The following is an 18058-nucleotide window of genomic DNA, read 5'->3' as shown; positions in this document are numbered from 1 at the left end:
TTCTCCCATTGCTTAATATCACCGTATGTTAGGCTGTTCTTGCATTGCTATAAAGAAATATCTAACCATCCTTTTCTTGGGGTTGCACTACTGTCTAATGAGTGCATAATGAGGGCAGTATTGCTAACGCCTATACAATGCACCTGCATCAACTAGAACTTTGCTTTACCTTGGTACAATTTTTGGAAAAATGAAAAACCTCTTTTCCATGAAATTGAAAAAAAATGTTTTTGAAAAGGAAGAAAAAAAAGAAATACCTGAGGCTGGGTAATTTATAAAGAAAGGAGGTTTAATTGGCTCACAGTTCTGCAGGCTATACATGAAGCATGGCACTGGTAGCTGCTTTGCTTCTGGTGAAGCTTTGGGCTGCTTACAATCATGGTGGACGGTGAAGCAGGAGCAGGCATCTCACACAGGGAGAGCAGAAGCAAGAGAGAGAGAAGGGAAAGGTGCTACACACTTTTAAACAACCAGCTCTCTTGAGAACTCACTTACTACAAAAGAGATGGTGCTAAGTCATTCCTGAGAGATCTGCCCCTGTGATCCAGTCACCTGTCACCAGGCCCAACCTCCATCCAATACTGAGGATTACAATTCAATATAAGATTAGATGGGGACAACGTTCAGACTATATTACACCACTACATGTTCTAGCGTAAATACATATTTTACTAATGTTAAATCAAATGTATAATAGATCATTGGTTTGGACTGAGCTCCTGTACTAGGCCCAACAGACAAAACCAAACTGGAGTCAGTCATGCTGAAGTTCCACACTAACCTGCTGAAACTAAGATCTTTATCTGACCTTTCAACAAATCAGGACACAGAGATAACAGCCAAATCCCTAAACAGGCCAGTTTTCGCCAGCGTGATAAGAAAGTTCCTTAAATCAACCTCCTCTGCTCAGCTCATCAGAACACTCACTCTGTTTTATAGTATGAGGTGTTGTCCGATTCTAGAATTGCAAATAAAAGACAATTAAAATTTTTTAAAAATATTTTTAAAATTCTTTATTCTTTTTAATAGTGATAGGGTCTCACTATATTGCCCAGGCTGGCCTTGAATTCCCAAGCTCAAGCAATCCTCCCACCTCAGCCTCCCAAAGTTTTGGGATTACAGGCATGAGCCAAAGCACCTGACCTCAATTAAGATCTTTTTTTTTTTTTGAGATGGAGTCTCGCTCTGTTGCCCAGGCTGGAGTGCAATGGTGCAATTTTGGCCTACTGCAACCTCCGCCTCCTAGGTTCAAGCAATTCTCTTGTCTCAGCCTCCTGAGTAGCTGGGATTACAGGCACGTGCCACCATTCCCAGCTAATTTTTGTATTTTTAGTAGAGAAGGGGTTTCAGCATGTTGGCCAGGCTGGTCTCGAACTCCTGACCTCAGGTGATCCACCTACCTTGGCCTCCCAAAGTGCTGGAATTACAGGCTTGAGCCACAGCACCCGGCCCCACATAAGATCTTTGAACTAAATTTGTTGTGATTTTGTCTTTTGACACTAAACATGATACCCAGTCTAGAAGTCATAAAGAAAAATGGCAACAGATTGACTGCATACAATTTTAAAACTTTTGTTTGGCAAAAGAAAACATGAAGATAAAAAAATAACACACAGGCTGGGAAAACGTATTTAGAACATATATAACAGAAAAGATTTATATTAAGCACTCCTGCAAATGACTAAGACTATAACCAACAACTCAGTAGAAAAATGACCAAATAATATAACAAAGGTGAACCAAAAAATAAGAAATACAAAAAAGCAATAAACAAATAAAATATTCAACCTCATCTTCTAAAAAAATGCAAACAAGATACCCATCAGGTTGGCAAACATTTTACGTACTAATAATATTGGCAAACTCTTTTTAGAGAAATAATTGGTAATACTTACCAAAATCTAATTTTTTTTTTTTGAGACAGGGTCTTGGTATGTTGTGAAGCTGGTGTTGGACTCCTGGGCTCAAGCAGTCCTCCTACTTCAGCTTCCCAAGTAGCTGGGATCACAGGAGCACACCACCACACCTGGCTGCAAAATGTAAATGATTTTATCTTCCTTTCTGTCTCTTGGCCCAGCAATTCCACATTTAGGTATCTGTCCCTGACAACCTAACACACAAAATTCTTATATGTGTATAAACATATGTACAAGAGGAATTATTAAAGGAATAGGTGTACTAGTGAAAAATTGGAAATAACCTAAATGTTCATTAATAGATTAGGTTAATATATTATTGAAATTTATTCTATAGATTATTAGGGCAATTGTTTAAAAGAATAAGGTAAAGCTACATATAATGACATGTGAAGATTTCTGAGACATATTGTTAGGTTAAAAATAGCATGTCATAGGACAATATCATATTTTATCATTTAAATAAAAATACTAGGAAAAACCTCATAATTTGCTGAGAGTCATTACCTTTGATGATGGGGTAGGAGTGGGAAAAAAAGGAGTGAATAGCAACTGTCACTTTTCACTCCATTTACACTGGTATTCCTTTGATTTTTAAAAAGTGTGTTTTCATGAATTACTGTGTAGTTCAGAAATAAAAATGCATTCCCTTTATTTTACTGTTGCATTCTTTCTCTCTTGCTCTCCTCTAATACAATTCTCAGACAGGATGTGAACAGAAAGAAAACAGTAACGTTTATTGACTTCCGTACCTCACACTTGTGTTCCAGTGTTTGGCTATTTATGATTTCCTTCCTGTGCTCTGACAGTCTCTAATTTTAGGTATGCCTTTATGGTTAGAAACAGCATTTTGTTTTGCTTGAATTTTTAAACCAACAATCTCAGGAAAGAGTTATGCTTCTGTAACACTGTTGTTTAGGGTTCCCCCCCAACCCCGTCTCATAAAAGTAGCCCAGAATACTTTTACTACCCCAGACAAAAATGGACCATTTAAGAATAAGTTCCTAATCTGTTGCTAAATGCTAATTATGAGAATTAGATAATAACTTGTATTCCTGAAAATAATCATAATGGGAATGCATCTTCAGGAAATTGATGGGAATTCTGGATCTAAAAGGTGCAGTGTGGTTATCTTAAGTTGAAAAGTGAAATTAGCAAAATGGCTAAGAAAGCCTTAACATAAAACATTAATTGGGGTTTAATGATGTAATCTTAGCAGTAGGAAAGACACATAATAACATTCTGTCAAACCTTTGTTAGACTTTCTTGTAATTTTGTCTTAACTACAGCATCGAAGAAAGTTGTGTACAATTCATTTTATGAATCAGAACCCAATTATGTTATATTGTTTTCATTCTTTTACCCAAGAGAGATTCATAAGTTGTTTTTAATCACTTCTTTTATTTTAAACCAATAGTGTCTGCCAAATGGGTAATATTTCCCATTAAAACATTATCTTCTATAATTGGTATAATTGCTTCATAAAGAGATAAACCACAGCATAATTCCAGAGTCTTTGGGTTTATAAAATCTAATTATGTTCACAACACAGTATTTTATTCTTAGTGATCTTAAAAAGAACATAAACTTGAACAAAGCCCAGACATTTATGGTAAAGTAATTGGGAGAAGCAAGTTAATTATTGTGAATAGAACTGCCTCTATTAGCAGCCTCTGAGAGAAAGCCCTTTTTGCAGTCATTAATCTCAGTATAGGAAGGTTTGGTTTTGGTCCCCTGAGCCTGCGTTGATAGCCTGTGGCTAAAGTGCAGAGTAAGGTTCAGTTCTAAAGCACAGGCTTCTCAAGGTTGGTCCAGCATCCCAGTCTCCTAAGTATAGAAGAGCACAGCTCCTAGCCTCAGCTTTTCATGTTGCTTCAGAGGCAAGGGCGGAGAAGAGAGAGGGAGAAGCAGAGGGCACAGGTATGACCTCCAAGGTCTGTTTCAACAGGAGATTTGCTTTCATCCGTTTTACATTTAAGGATTCTACAACAGATTGCTTTTTTTTTTTTTTGCGATGGAGTCTCGCTCTGTTGCCTAGGCTGGAGTGCAGTGGCACAATCTTGGCTCACTGCAACCTCCACCTCCTGGGTTAGGCACCGCCATGCCCAGATAAGTTTTGTATTTTTAGTCGAGATTGGGTTGCATCATGTTGGCCAGGCTGGTCTCAAACTCCAGACCTCAAGTGATCTGCCCACCTCAGCCTCCCAAAGTGTTGAAATTACAGGCGTGAGCCACTGTGCCTAGCCAACAGATTGCATTTGGAGAAAGAGAATCAATTGCTAAAATTAATTTTTGAAAACTTTTGCTCAATGCCATAGTCATGTGCTGTCTCTATGTCAAAGGGAGAATGACTAAATATAAGAATTAGCCACTCAAGGGAACACACTGGAAGGCCAAACAGCAACCCACATTACCTGAAAACCACACCTTAAAAACTCATAAGCCTCTCTTCAATACTATTTATAACTAAAAAGAAATCCTAATTTTAGTCTGGGTGCAGTGGTTCATGCCTATAATTCCCAGTACTTTGAGAGGCCAAGGTGGAAGGATTGCTTGAGCCCAGGAGTTTGAGTCCAGGCCTGGGCAAAATGATGAGACTCTGTCTCTACAAAAAATTTAAAATATAGCTGGGTATGGTGATGTGCACTTGCTACTCAGGAGGCTGGGATAGGGGAATTGCTTGGGCCTGGGAGGTTGAGGCTGTGGTGAGCTGTGATTGTGCACCAGCCTGGGTGACCTGTTAAAAAAAAAAAAAAAAAAAAGGAAAGAAATTCCAATTAAACACACACACGCACACACACGTACACACCTGCACACGTACCAAGCAAACATCCCTAAACTGTACTTGACTTGCACCTCCTCCTTGGTTTTTATGTAAGAAAAGGGAGGGAGAGGGAGAGAAAGATACTAGAGCAGGAGGAAACGATATTCCTTAGTCAGCATTAGTGTTGTCCAGAACTATGACACTCCATTTTGCTTCAGCATTCCTAAGTATCAACCTGCCTTTCTTTGTATTTCTCTTCCCTTCCTCCCTCTGATTGATACCTTGAGAGGCTTTTTCTCTCTTCTTCCTTCCCCTTTACCCATACCAAGAAGCAGGACATGCCCCTTTAGGAATCAGCGACTTAAAAGATTGTGAGACTCAGAGAAAGAAAGTTAATAATAGACACAAGAGCTAGATAGAAAGATGAATAGGTATGCACTTGTCCTCAGAATCTGCAGAAAATTCTGGCTTAAGAAGGTTAAGATGGGAGGTGGGGAGTGGTCAGGGTGGAAGATAATCAGTGGCAAGTTGTACGGGAGGGAAAGAAGTAAAGACATTAGCCACTCAAGGCTTTCTCTATAGAAGGATTTGTCAGTGGCAAGCTGGCTCTTACCTGAGACTCAGATGAACATCAGTATCACTTCCTGGGAGTGGTCTTTCCTGACCACCCAGTGTAAAGTGGCCACCGATTTGCTATCCACCACATTATCCCATTTTACCTCTCTAGACAGCACTTATTATCTGACATTTTCCTTTATTTTTTTCTGCCTCTCTCCACCCCCTACCTCTGGCCTCTTCCCCTACTAAAATGTAAGCTCCTTGGGGGCAATGACTTGTCCTAATTTACTGTCTGTCTCTTCCCCCTAGGATATAAGCCCCAAGCCTGCAGGGATTGACTGGTTTTGTTAAATCCATATCCTTCAAATGGCCTTGCACATATAACAGTAAGGACATTCAGTAGTTCAATGAATCCTTCTTGAATACAAGAATTATAGAAAGAAACCCTTTCTCCCCCGCGAAGTTTGCATTGTGATAAAGCAGCTTGAATTTTTCCCCTGAGTTGGGACAAAGGCAGGTACATTGCTCCCATTGCAGGTATAGCCTCAATTTCTAGTCCATTGGGACCAACAAGGGCTAATGGCAAAGACAGAATCAGAAGTGTCTCCTTTGTGCTGAATAGTGATGTGGGTTAAGACACCACAGAATGAGAAAGCAGCTTCCTTCCCACTCTAGGGGGCGAAAAGGAGGCACTCGCTGCAGTGGAAACATTTGCAGAAGATCAAACAATGCTGTAATCCTTTAAGCTTGATAAAAGCTTTTTTCATGTGTGATAGATTACAATTATGGTGAAACGTACTATAAAAATATTCTTCACATGTTACCAGACGTCTTCATCAGGTTTGCAAACATCAAAGATTTATCTTAGTCTTTTGTTATTTCAATCTCAAATGCTACCTCCTTCTTGGCTACTTTATGATTCTCCTTTTGCAAAAGAATCAAGCAAAGGCATACGGCAATTTACAAGTCAAGGTATTTAAGATTAGCATTTCATTAGTGATTTAAAATATATTCCTTTCAGAATATGCAAAGTACAAAAAATATATACATATTTTAGGATAAACAGAATAGAGTTTATCTGGGGGATAACTTTTTTTTTTTTTTACACTATGTAAAAGTATCAGGGGATACTTTTTTTTACAGTATGAATAGTAATACCCTTTTGGAGCAAAATGGCCTTAGTAAATGATAAAAAGTAAAATAAAGAGGATTGTCAGTGCAAAAAAAAAAAAAAAGATAAATTTCTGATGAATTACTTACATGCTGGACATTAAGTAGTCTTGAGTGACCATATGATTTATTATCCAAATAAGGGATGCTTCTGAGAGTGAATGAGGGCAGTTATTGGTCATAATTAACAATAGGACAATGGACAGAAACCAGGGCAAACTGGGATATACAGTCAACCTCATTTCAAGGATACTTAATGACCATAAAATTGCTTTTAGATTTTTATCAAAAAAAAAAAAAGTAAAACAAAATAGCCTGCTCATTTGCTAAAGACATAGTAAGCAATGAGTCTTTTTAAAATTAACTGCTTGATTTTTCATAATAAAATTAAATGACTAAATATGAGTATAAATTGACAACTGTTGGAGGAGAAAAAGAAATTCAGTGTGTAATCTACCTATTTTAATGAATGAATGAACGAATATTTATTTATTTTTTAGAGACGGGGTCTTGCTCTGGCACATGATCATTGATCATAGCGCACTGCAGTGTCTAACTCTTGGGCTCAAGTGTTCCTTCCGCCTCAGCCTCCTGAGTAGCTAGGACTATAGGCATGAATTTACATGCCCTACTCTACCCTATTTTAAACTGTTCTGATCATTCAGAAAAGTTGTCCTTGCCCATAAATATTAATCACAATAGTCTGCTGGGTAACATTTCTCAGCTTAAAATATGTATTTCATTTTTAAAGATCAACCACTTTTCCATATTGACATCATTGGTAGATAGATTTAATCTCCTACTCCAGTCCTTATGGATTGTGGCCATAAGGAACACTGCTTGGGAGGCTTCTGAGGGCACTTGTACAGCTCAGTAGAAAGGCCTGTTCTGATTGGCTGGTGATATCTGCAGGAGACATGGGATATGGGGCAATGGTAGGTTCAGCAAGTATTTGCCATCAAAACAGGTACTGAACAGATACCTGTTTTAACAATAATTTTCTAACATATATCTGGTTTGTAAACAAAAAATTACGTCTTGCTGATCCTGCATCTGTTACCTCTCATAGGTTCTATTATAGTATAAATAATATCCCAACTATGCCACAGGAAAACAAGGCCATCACTCTTGACTTAAGTGAAGACAGCAACCCATGATTCCACACATTATTGTTTCACAGCGCTGTTAGTCCCAAATCACACTAAGATCAAATCCCTAATACCTGGAGAGTAGGGGAAAAAAATAATACAGCAAACGACTAACTTCTCTTCTGTTTCTATTCTTCACTTATTTTGTCATTTGGGGCTATATTTTTATCTACTCAAGAGAATTTTAAGTGATAAAATGAAAATTAAACTTGCCTCTCCCTTTGCAAGCAAGTATTAGTTATTCTTTTTTTTTTTTTTTTTTTTTTTTTCCAGACAGAGTTTTGCTCTTGTTGCCCAGGCTGGAGTGCAGTGGCACAATCTCAGCTCAGTGCAACCTCTGCCTTCCTGGTTCAAGTGATTCTCCTGCCTCAGCCTCCCAAGTAGCTGGGATTACAAGCACCTGCCACCATGGCCGGCTAATTTTTGTAATTTTAGTAGAGACAGGGTTTCAGCATATTGGCCAGGCTGGACTCGAACTCCTGACCTCAGGTGATCCACCTACCTCAGCCTACCAAAGTGCTGGGATTACAAGCATGAGCCACCACGCCTGGCCTAATGATTCTATTTTAAAGGAAAATTTTCAGCATTTATTTTACTACCAGGTATTTTGCATTATTTACCCTTTCTGTACACAATAGAGAGCTGTTTTGCATCTTTCAATGAGGGAAAATAAAGAGGAAATAGTTGACTCTATAAAAAATACATGAGGCGTCCACATAATGCTGTTTTTGTGCCTGTATGTGTGACCATGAAGCATGTTCCACCTTCGGGACCTTAATTCTCTAATTTTAAGAAATGAGGCAGAAGAATGGCTAAAATTAAAAAGGCATGGAGCTCCCGGGAATTCTTACATGGTGATGGTAGGAGCACAGAAATGTCACTACTCTGGAAACAAGATTGGTAGAACTGAAACATATGCTTATCATATGGCCCAGCAATCCCCTACCTAGGTATTTATCCAAGGGAAATGAAAACATGTGTCCATGTGAAGATTTGTATGTGAATACATTTTTTTCAAAAAGAGGCAGAATTCAATTTCTATTGCAGGGAAAACCCAAGTTCAGATTGCAAGGCAGCTTTCTCATATTGATTTTGACCACACAGCTCTACTTTTCCAAGAGTGAAATCCTATTGAAGTGGCTTTCCAAAATATTTTGTGGAAAATAAGTATTAATAGATGGCAACTCCTCATTCACGATCCCCAAACAGGAGACAAATTCATCAGGAAGCAGGGTCTGTTCTGGAATAGTTTCACTGGGTGAATCATTTTCCAAAAGCATGGTGGTTTCCTCCTCTACTGAGTTTTGTATGTCAGGAGAACTGCATTCTCCTTGATTTAATATGAGGCTTAATTCTCCAAGAAATATTGTGTTGCTTAGTGAATTCACACTTGAAACAGAAAAAGCAAAATTAGGATGCTTTTGTAACCTGGGATTATTTCCTGAGTCTAAGGAATCAACTGGTGGTTTAAGTGTTAAGGAAGTAATTTCATTATTATTGCTGAGATGGCTTCCCTCAGGCAGAAAATTTGAAATTTGGGGTTTATATCCAGTGTTGAGATCAGGAATATATACAACTGTAGTATTGTCGAATAGCGAGTTTTGCGGGTAGTCTCTTGTCTCCAGGGGTCCTGTATTCTCCTTCTTGTAGTCTGTAGGCTTGTGTTCTGGGATGAAGATTTCTTTTATCTCTGTAATCATGGGATCAACATATAGGACCTGCTCACTGGAATTATTATTCATAAGTTCACTATTTTCCTAGGAAAAAAAGACATCATTTTATTTTGCAAAAGACATTTAAAAGAACCAACTGGATAATTGAATGAGGATAGGAATTTTGCTTTCTTTCAACTTTCCTTTCTCCCTCCATTTTCTCATATTGTTTATCTTCCCATATGATTTCCTCCTTTTGTCTTTTGTTATCCTGCTTGCTTCCAAATCTTTATTAAATTTGCATGAGAAGACTGAAGAAAAGGAATAGTAAAAATAATCCACTTCTTAAGCACATTTCTTGGTTTAAAAGTTTTAAAGAGAAAAGTTGAGTCTTATATATTAACTTATTACTTATTACTTAATTTTAGGGCCTTTTAAAAGTTGGTCTTCTGAGGCAAGAATATTAATATTAATATTTCTTGTTACAAGAAAATACTTTGTTGCTTAAATAAAAAAAGGTTGGGGAGAATCCTATTTTGCTCACATACCGAGAATGAGTGTGTGACAAATGCTTGATGCCGAGGTTCTAAAGGTGGATAAGGCCTGTAATCCCAGCACTTTGAGGCCAAGGCAGGCAGATCACTTGAGATCAGGAGTTCAAGACCAGCCTGGCCAACATGGTGAAACCCTGTCTCTACTAAAAATACAAAAATCAGCCAGGCGTAGTAGCGCAAGCCTGTAATCCCAGCTACTCAGGAGGCTGAGACAGGAGAATTGCTTGAGCCCGGGAGGCGGAGGTTGCAGTGAGCTGAGATCATGCCACTGCACTCTAGCCTGGGTGACAGAGCAAGACTCTGTCTCAAAACAAAAAACAACAAATAAATAAATAAAGCTACTCACAATTCAGACATGTTTGTGATGATAAGGAGGGTGGGTGAAGGTTTTAGCCTGATGACTTTTCTGGGCAATAAATGGACTGGAGGCCTTCCAACAGATGGCTGGCCTTCCTGGGCAAACTGTCACCCAACACAATTATAATATTATAGCCCCCTGTTACGGACTAAACGTTTGTGTGCCCTCTCCCCAGCCCCCCTCACATTGAAGCCAATGTGATGTTATTTGAAAGTGGAGACTTTGGGTGGTAATTAGGTCATGAGGGCGGAGCCTTCATGAATGGGATTAGTGAAGAAGAGACAGGAAAGAGATGATCTCTTCCTCTGCCATGTGAGAAGGCAGCTGTCCACAAGACAGCCCTCACTAGCAAGTGAATTGACTGGCTCCTTGATCATGGACTTCCCAGCCTCCAGCACTGTGACAAATAAATGTTTGTTGTTTAAGCCACCCAAGCCGACTAAGCATTCCTTAGTCTCTCGGGCAGAAAACAAAACCTTATCTGAGGGAAGCCCTAAGGTTTGCCTCTAATTCCAGGAGCCCAGAATAGGAAAGGAGTTTAGCAAAGAAGGAGATCTTGAATAAACAGACATGAAGTGTCATTCCAATTTTCTTCAGCCCCAGCCTCCTTAGGGAGCTTGCCAGGTTTGGGTAAGAACAGCACATTGGGTATTGCTTCATCAAAAATCTTGACGTGAGGAGTGGCTGGAGTAAAGCTGGAATGGTGAGTGGATCAGATCACAGAAGTCTTGTGTTACAGAACTCAGACTCTATTCTGTTGACCAGTTGTTTTTGAACTTTTAAAAAGTATTTTATTTTTAGCCTAGAAACCCTTTGTTCAGATGACATGAGGTTGGGGAAAGAGTTAGCTAATAGGCTTACCAGAGCTTGAAACAGAGCCACTTCTATTTGTTTTACAAACACCTCATCTTCTTACCCAACATGCAGTTCTAACCCCCAGGGGTCCCCCTGACTTTGAATTCTCCCTGCTTCTCCTGAGCAGCTCCTCTCCTTTCAGTGTTTCCTTTCCACTCCCATCACATGTTTGGGCTCATTTCTATCATTGCACTTACATCACTGCATTGCAAGGCTTGGATGATGTGTTTGTCCCTTGGACTGGGTTTTGAGCCCCTTGACAGCCAATCCCGAGGGCCAGGGGTTATCAGGAACACACATAGCTTGTTCCTTCCCTCCTTTATAATCAGTAATGTCCCTGTACCCTCAGGGGCTTCCTGGTGTGTGGCCTTCTCTTTGCCAGAATGGAAACCTAGCCCACCCCTGTGACACTATTGTTCACAGTTCTCTCACATTGCTTTTCTCAAATTCCACTGGGTTTAAAGAGTAAAATGATGCCCTTCTTGGGCTCCACCTGGCTCTCCATCTCATGTGAAACAGAAGCCCTTTGAATCTTTGAGGCTCATTTCATTGAGCTTTTCTTCCCTACTCCCTTTGTTCCTGAAGACATCTACCATTGTTTGGTCACCAGGTGACTCGTGCACAAGGCCCACAATCTTCCACTTCACTTTTCTCTTTTGAACAGGTTTGTTTCTTTATTTCTTCTCTGTTTTCTTTCCCCCAACTCTATTGTCTCATCTCTTTTAAGTATGATTTGAAACAGGTACAGTTTTGTCTTTACACATGTCTATATAATTATGTTAATATGTGTGCACATTTATTTATTTGAATGGAAATTCTATTCTAATTATTAGACTGCACTCTTGGTCTCAATTGCCACTCAGTTTTTGTTGGATGATGTTAGGTTACCTGTAGCATTTTCACAACATTGCTGTTTTTCATATTAGGAATATCTTCATAAAGCCACTTTGGTATTAACAATAAGATCCTTCTTTTAATCCTAAAAAACAAAAATGACACGTTAGAAGAAGCAGGCAATCATATAGGAGATTAGGAAGTCAACTAGAATAAAATGTATATTAAAAATCAAATTTCCTAGGTCGGGCACAGTGGCTCATGCCTGTAATCCCAGCACTTTGGGAGGCTGAGGTGGGAGGATTGCTTGAGTCCAGGAGTTCGAGACCAGCCTGGGCAACATAGCAAGACCCTGTCTCTACAGAATATTAAAAAATTAGCTGGGTGTGGTGGTGCATGCCTGTGGTCCCAGCTACTTGGGAGGCTGAGGTGGAAAGATCGCTTGAGCCTGGGAGGTCAAGGCTGTAGTGAGCTGTGACCATGCCACTGCACTCACTCTGGGCAACAGAGTGAGACCCTGACTCAAAAAAAAAATTAATTAAAGAAATCAAACTTCCTGATGCCGAGGCTAAAGTTTTCATCTCTTACTTAATGAAAATTAAGTGGGAAATTGTGTCATTATCTTTTCAGATTTTCCTCTCATCTCTATTGCTCTGCTTCTTTTCAATGAGCAGAAACATTTCAAAACACTCACACTAGATTCAAGATAAGTGGGAGAACCACCCTAGCAGTGAAACCGTACACATATTAAATAGAGCAAACTCTCATAACCAGAAGATTCCCATGTGGGAAAGTTCAAAAAACTTAAGGGATATTTTGTAGAACTTTCCAAGGTGACCGTAACTACCGCATATTTAAAAAGAGAATGTTATATAATAAAGCCCTAAAATTTAGGCTGTTCTGAGTCTAGATTTTGTAATTATTTCAAATAGGGTTGTAATGATGGTGACAGCTCCAAACTTTCTTGATGCGGATGGAGAAGGAGGCTGGGGAACATGTCTTGCAGTTGTGTGGCATAGTGAGAACTGGTTTCTACCTAGACCATGTGCTTATTTTAAGGATCAGTGGGGTGGGGCTTTGGAAAGAAAAGGTAGAAGTCATAAACATCCCACTTTTTCCCCCAAGCTATCTATTAGCACTGCCATTGTGTTTAAAAACACTCTCTGCATTGACAGTACAAATTGGTTTGGGCAGAAAGGTTGTACCAAGAACTTAGAAGAGACTAAACTGATCTCAGACACCTTTTTACATATTAACAATGGATCCTGTTAGCAACGGATCAGACTTATTTGTTTAAATTGGTTCTCAAAGGACCTGTACTAAATAACAACCAAAATGGCTGAGTGAACTTTGCTAGCCCAATTTGACCTTGGACTTTAGGGTAAATATTATTTCTTTACTCATCTTTATACAATGTTTTATGATTCCATTTTTTTTGTTGTTGTTTTGTTTACTAATTCACACTCTCTTCTGTATTTAAAATTAGACCAAATTAGTAAATTCAGGCTATTGGAGTAAAGTTTTTATACAGTACACTGATACAGTGAGAATATATATATATATATGTATATATATTTACCCACTTTTGGTTTTATTATATTTAAAATGTTTTGGGCCGGGCATGTTGGCTCACACCTGTAATCCCAACACTTTGGGAGGCAAAGACAGGCAGATCACTTGAGGCCAAGAGCTCAAGAGCAGCCTGGCCAACATGGTGAAATCCCGTCTCCACCAAAAATATAAAAATTAGTTGGAAATGGTGGTGTGTGCCTGTATTCCTAGCTACTTGGGAGGCTGAGGCATGAGAATCACTTGAACCCAGGAGATGGAGGTTGCAGTGAGCCGAGATTGCACCACTGCACTCCAGTATGGATGATAGAGCGAGACTCTGTCTCAAAAAATAATAATAAATAAATAAATAAATAAAATATTTTGCTTTCTGTTGCTCACTTCTGTTTCAGAACTAAGGCTTTTATAGATAATGAATAGTTGTATTAAATAAAAGTATCTGTTCAAATGTAAAATAAATATATTGGAATTATGTCTTGTTTTATCTTTTTAAAAAGAGTACTTATTTAAATAATTAAATGAGCAAAGAATTGCCCTAATTCCTTGTTATGAACTGAAAATTAGTTTTTAGGCTATTCTTAGTTATGAACTTAGTGTTACTTAAACTTTTACACTAGGGCATGTTTAAATAATAACACAAATATTGATTTTTTTATGGGGTATTAATTTGAACATTAAAATATTTCAAGGGACTTCATAATCAAGTATATTTTAAAACAGCCTCAAATAAAATTCCGTATTAGTTTGCCTTCCTTACAAGGGTATTAGGAATATGTTTATTAATGTGTAATTTAAATTTTGAAATATTAAGTTCTGAGCAAAAAACCTATGTAGATAAGAAATCATTAGTAGACTTTATAATAGCTCATTTAAAATCTTTCTACTGCACTTGATTATAAATGTAAACGAAAGAAAGATTATTTCATGAAGCAAATGATGGCAAGAAGGAGAAACTCAGTGCCAATTCGGCAAAGAACATTCAAGTCAAAATTTGTGAGCAACTGGACACACTGGGGAACTGCCACACCAAACAACTCTAATCTATCGAGCAGCTTAGAAATACTCAATGCATCAGTAAAATTTAGAAATCCAAGGGTCTTGCTTTTCTCAAAGTCTCATTTTAAATAACTAACCATAGATCTTTACTAATACCATCACAGGAGGGAAAAAACTGAAGGGGGCCAAGAGTAAGGGACTTTGGGGCTGAATGCTAAAACACTAAAACAATTGGTAAGGAATTGACAAATTTAAAAATTGTCACACTTCCCTTCACACTGATTCAAGCTGATTTGTTTGGGTGGAATTCAAGTGTTAAAGCAAACTAAATATGGCCTGAGAAGGACTTCATACCTCTATATTTGAATCCCTGTGGATGAACTGTAACCTAACTTAACAGGCAGACAAGAGTGAAAACCTGACTTAGGAGTATGTGCCTGTAACAGTAACTGAGTCTTGGCCAATCCCAGTGGACCATACTTCAACCACTCATAGACTGCTAAATGTTCAAACTGTGTTCAAATAAGACAAATGCCAACCTGTAACCAACCAGCTGTTTCTGTACATCACTGCCAATTTCTGTATGTCACTTCTCTCTTTTTTTTTTTTTTTGTCTATAAATTTGTTCTGACCACAAGGCATCCCTAGAGTTTCTCTGAATCTGCTGTGATTCTGCTGCCAAATTCCCAAATTGTTCATTGCTCAATTAAACTCCTTTAAATTGGCTGAAGTTTTTCTTTTACTAGATGGTGTCAGAAGCGGGATATGAATTAGACCTTCTAACGACCCCCAGGAGCACTGAGTGAACAAGCAAGGAACCTGTTGGACCTACTTGTGTCCTTTGATCTCTCAGAGTGGCTGGGGATCATGGCAAGTTCTCTTTTGGATTTCAGAGCTCCACAGATTTGTGTTTTGAACTCTCCAAGTTTCTTTGAGCAAATTCCTGTTCCAAACTGGGTTCAGAAGTCACAACAGAAACTGGACTGGGTCCAGGATTGGATTTGATCAGTAATTAACAGGCTAGGATCCAATTAGAGGCCTCTTAGATTTGACTAGGTCAGAAAGAAACTGGTAGTAAATGGTAGTATTGCAGGGGTTGTAAAATTTGGCATTTGGAAATTCACAGGGATTTTTGGTTTTCTACACCTTTGTTTCATTTTTCTTGCACACTTAGGTAGGAAAAATCATTGGCTAAGTTCATCAAGGGAACCTGAAAGCAAAGCCAATATTTTAGGTAAAAATGAGATCCTTAATTTCTGAAAAGCAGAGTTCCTTCCAGTTTATACATTAGGCTTGGGAGGCAGCAAAGTCTTACAGAAATAGCAAAATTTTACTAAAGATAACTTACAATGGAACATTCCAAATGAACAACAACACACTGAAGTGCATTAAAAAAAAACTGGATGAGGTCTCCATCTTGTTTTACATTCTTGGGAGCTTGACTTTGTAACCACGTGGTGGTACTTTTTCTTGGTCTCTGCCTTCAAGGGAACAGGAATTTTAGGGTTCATGTCACAGTTAGCTCTAAAAATTAAGTTGAGTAGTTAAAAGCTTTTGCAAGCTCAAAATTAAGTACTTTAGAGCCCTTCTGGGAAGCACAATGGAGACTACCCAGTACTGTAGCTCAGTAGCTAAAGTTTTTTACTTTCACAGTGGTGGCCTGGGTTCAATTCCTGGGTTAAGGAATGAGTCCTTTCTGGTTTGATACCTGTGGGAACTTTATCATTTGCTGATTCTCTTCCCTTCCATGAATTGTCTTGAATTTTCCTTTCTCTGAGCACCTGGGAGGTAAAGTTCAAAAGCCAGAAATACAGGCCACTTGGCATGGCTAAAGTTGGGTAACAAGAGATTTAAAAGGATTTTTTAAAGAGCACTATAGTTAAGAGTCAGCTTAATTAAAAGTGGATATCCAAGCTATAGGTATATTTAAAAGGCCTTTATGTCTTTTCCTTTTTTTTTTTTTTTGAGACAGAGTCTCGCTCTGTCACCCAGGCTGGAGTGCAGTGGCATGATCTCAGCTCACTGCAAGCTCCACCTCCTGGGTTCACACCATTCTCCTGCCTCAGCCTCCCAAGTAGCTGGGACTACAGGTGCCTGCCACCACACCTGGCTAATTTGTTGTATTTTTAGTAGAGACGGGGTTTCACCGTGTTAGCCAGGATGGTCTCGATCTGCTGACCTCGTGATCTGCCTAGCTCGGCCTCCCAAAGTGCTGGAATTACAGGCATGAGCCACTGCGCCTGGCCACATTTATGTCTTTCCTTTTTGTGGATCTTGTTTTGCTGAAAAAGGTTTTTTCTTCTCAGTCGACTGAATTATTTTTCTCCATTTTGTCTTGCCACTCTTAAGGCACACATGAGAGGCCCTAAGATAACTTCTGATAGCCTAGGACTCCTTGGGAAAAATAAAGAAGGTGCCACTGATCCTGTTTTGGAAAAAACCCTCTGTTTTCCTCATGGAACCTCAAGAATTAAAAGCAAATAGATCTCTCTCGAAATCCATTTTGCCTTCCAGCTGTGCCTGCTTATTAGACCCCAGAAACTGCATGTTTTCCTAGCCATTTCTTGATGGGCTCCACCCCAAGGTCAGTAATCCAATGAAGAAACTGGCAAATGAAAAATCCTACAACTACTGGATCTTGTTCTCTGTGTAGTTATATATGTGTTGTGTGTGTGATGTTCATATAAAAGAACTCTAAGTAATTGGCTTAAAGAAAAATAAGTGCTTAGATAAAACACTTTTGGAAGAAAAAATAAAAACTGTAATGTCTTAGTTCAAGTAACTTTAGTAATCTTTGGGAAATAAAAATGGCTTTAACGATTATTGGTAAAATAAAGACATTTTGTCTAAATTAGACAGGTCAGATATTAGGTTTACTAATGCTTTCAGGTCATAAACTGCTTTGACTTTTGAAAATTGTTCAATTTACCTATCTTGGAGGCATTAGATTCTCAATAAGGCCTGGGGACATGTGGAATTAGCCATGCTCCCCTAGCTATGCAAAAAAGATTATAAAGAAAATAGATTTTATATAAGAAAGAAAGTTGTATGGTAAATTCTTGTCCTAAAGTAAAATAACTGGTTGCTTAAAAAGAGGGATGATTAGGACAAGTCAGAAAGTCTAAGCATGTCATAGATGGTCTGCATAAGTCATGAAAGGATACATGAAAGGAAATTTAGGCACCAAAATTAAAAGTTGCTAACAGTTACCATTACAACATGTAATCCAGACTACTGAAAATAGATTTACATGCAAGGTGTGTCAGGAAACTAAAATGCGTTTTTACTAAAAGGTTATAAGAAGGCACAGGAATGTAAATTTTTGTCTAGGTTAGAGGGTTAAAATATTGTTTTAAATTAGATTAAAATAAAGCTAAAGGCTTGAATACATTGTGGAAGGTTTATGAAAAGTTAATCTTATAAAAAGAAATTCTGTGTGGACATTGGCTAAAGATAAAGGGGTATTGCTAAGTTTTTCTATAAATTAAAATTGAAATAAAAGCACAACATGTTTTTCTTAGAGCACTGATCTGCTTTTTAACAAAAATTTGTAAAGGGTTACAAAATGTTTACAAGAATTTCACCTCATGGTCAAACTGGTTAAGCATTATATCAAGTATTTTAAACCTTTAACATATTTTATAGGCTTCCCAAAATGAAATTTCAGCTTCAAAATTGTCTTTC

General features: G+C 38.3%; 1 protein-coding gene and 1 pseudogene across 4 annotated transcripts in view, besides 1 other annotated feature; one reads left to right on the top strand and one right to left on the bottom strand.

The window, feature by feature from the left end:
- On the top strand, nucleotides 65-190 carry RNU4ATAC4P (RNA, U4atac small nuclear 4, pseudogene; annotated as a pseudogene).
- The window catches only part of IL23R (interleukin 23 receptor), a 127267-nt gene continuing 111096 nt past the window's right edge, over nucleotides 1888-18058 (bottom strand). For 3 of the 4 annotated variants that reach the window (XM_011540790.4, XM_011540791.4, NM_144701.3), the window contains exons 10-11: nucleotides 11864-11954; nucleotides 7812-9313 (exon numbers count right to left, since the gene is read on the bottom strand). In XM_011540790.4, the coding sequence (XP_011539092.1) occupies nucleotides 8663-9313; nucleotides 11864-11954 (742 nt within the window). In that variant the 3' untranslated portion in view covers nucleotides 7812-8662. Of the gene's footprint in view, nucleotides 2031-7811; nucleotides 9314-11863; nucleotides 11955-18058 lie in introns of those variants that run through there. The other variant, XM_047447227.1, reaches the window with a different exon arrangement.
- Nucleotides 2636-2735: an enhancer, noted in NCBI's record as "active region_1172". NCBI's record gives its function as "activates an Ori minimal core promoter by ATAC-STARR-seq in GM12878 lymphoblastoid cells {active_cell/tissue: GM12878}" and the evidence as "EXISTENCE:reporter gene assay evidence [ECO:0000049][PMID:35858748]".

The sequence above is a fragment of the Homo sapiens genome, chromosome 1, assembly GCF_000001405.40.
Source record: "Homo sapiens chromosome 1, GRCh38.p14 Primary Assembly".
NCBI classification, from domain to species: domain Eukaryota; kingdom Metazoa; phylum Chordata; class Mammalia; order Primates; family Hominidae; genus Homo; species Homo sapiens.
Note: the sequence above shows the minus strand (reverse complement) of the source record. Positions and strands in the feature narration are given on the sequence as shown.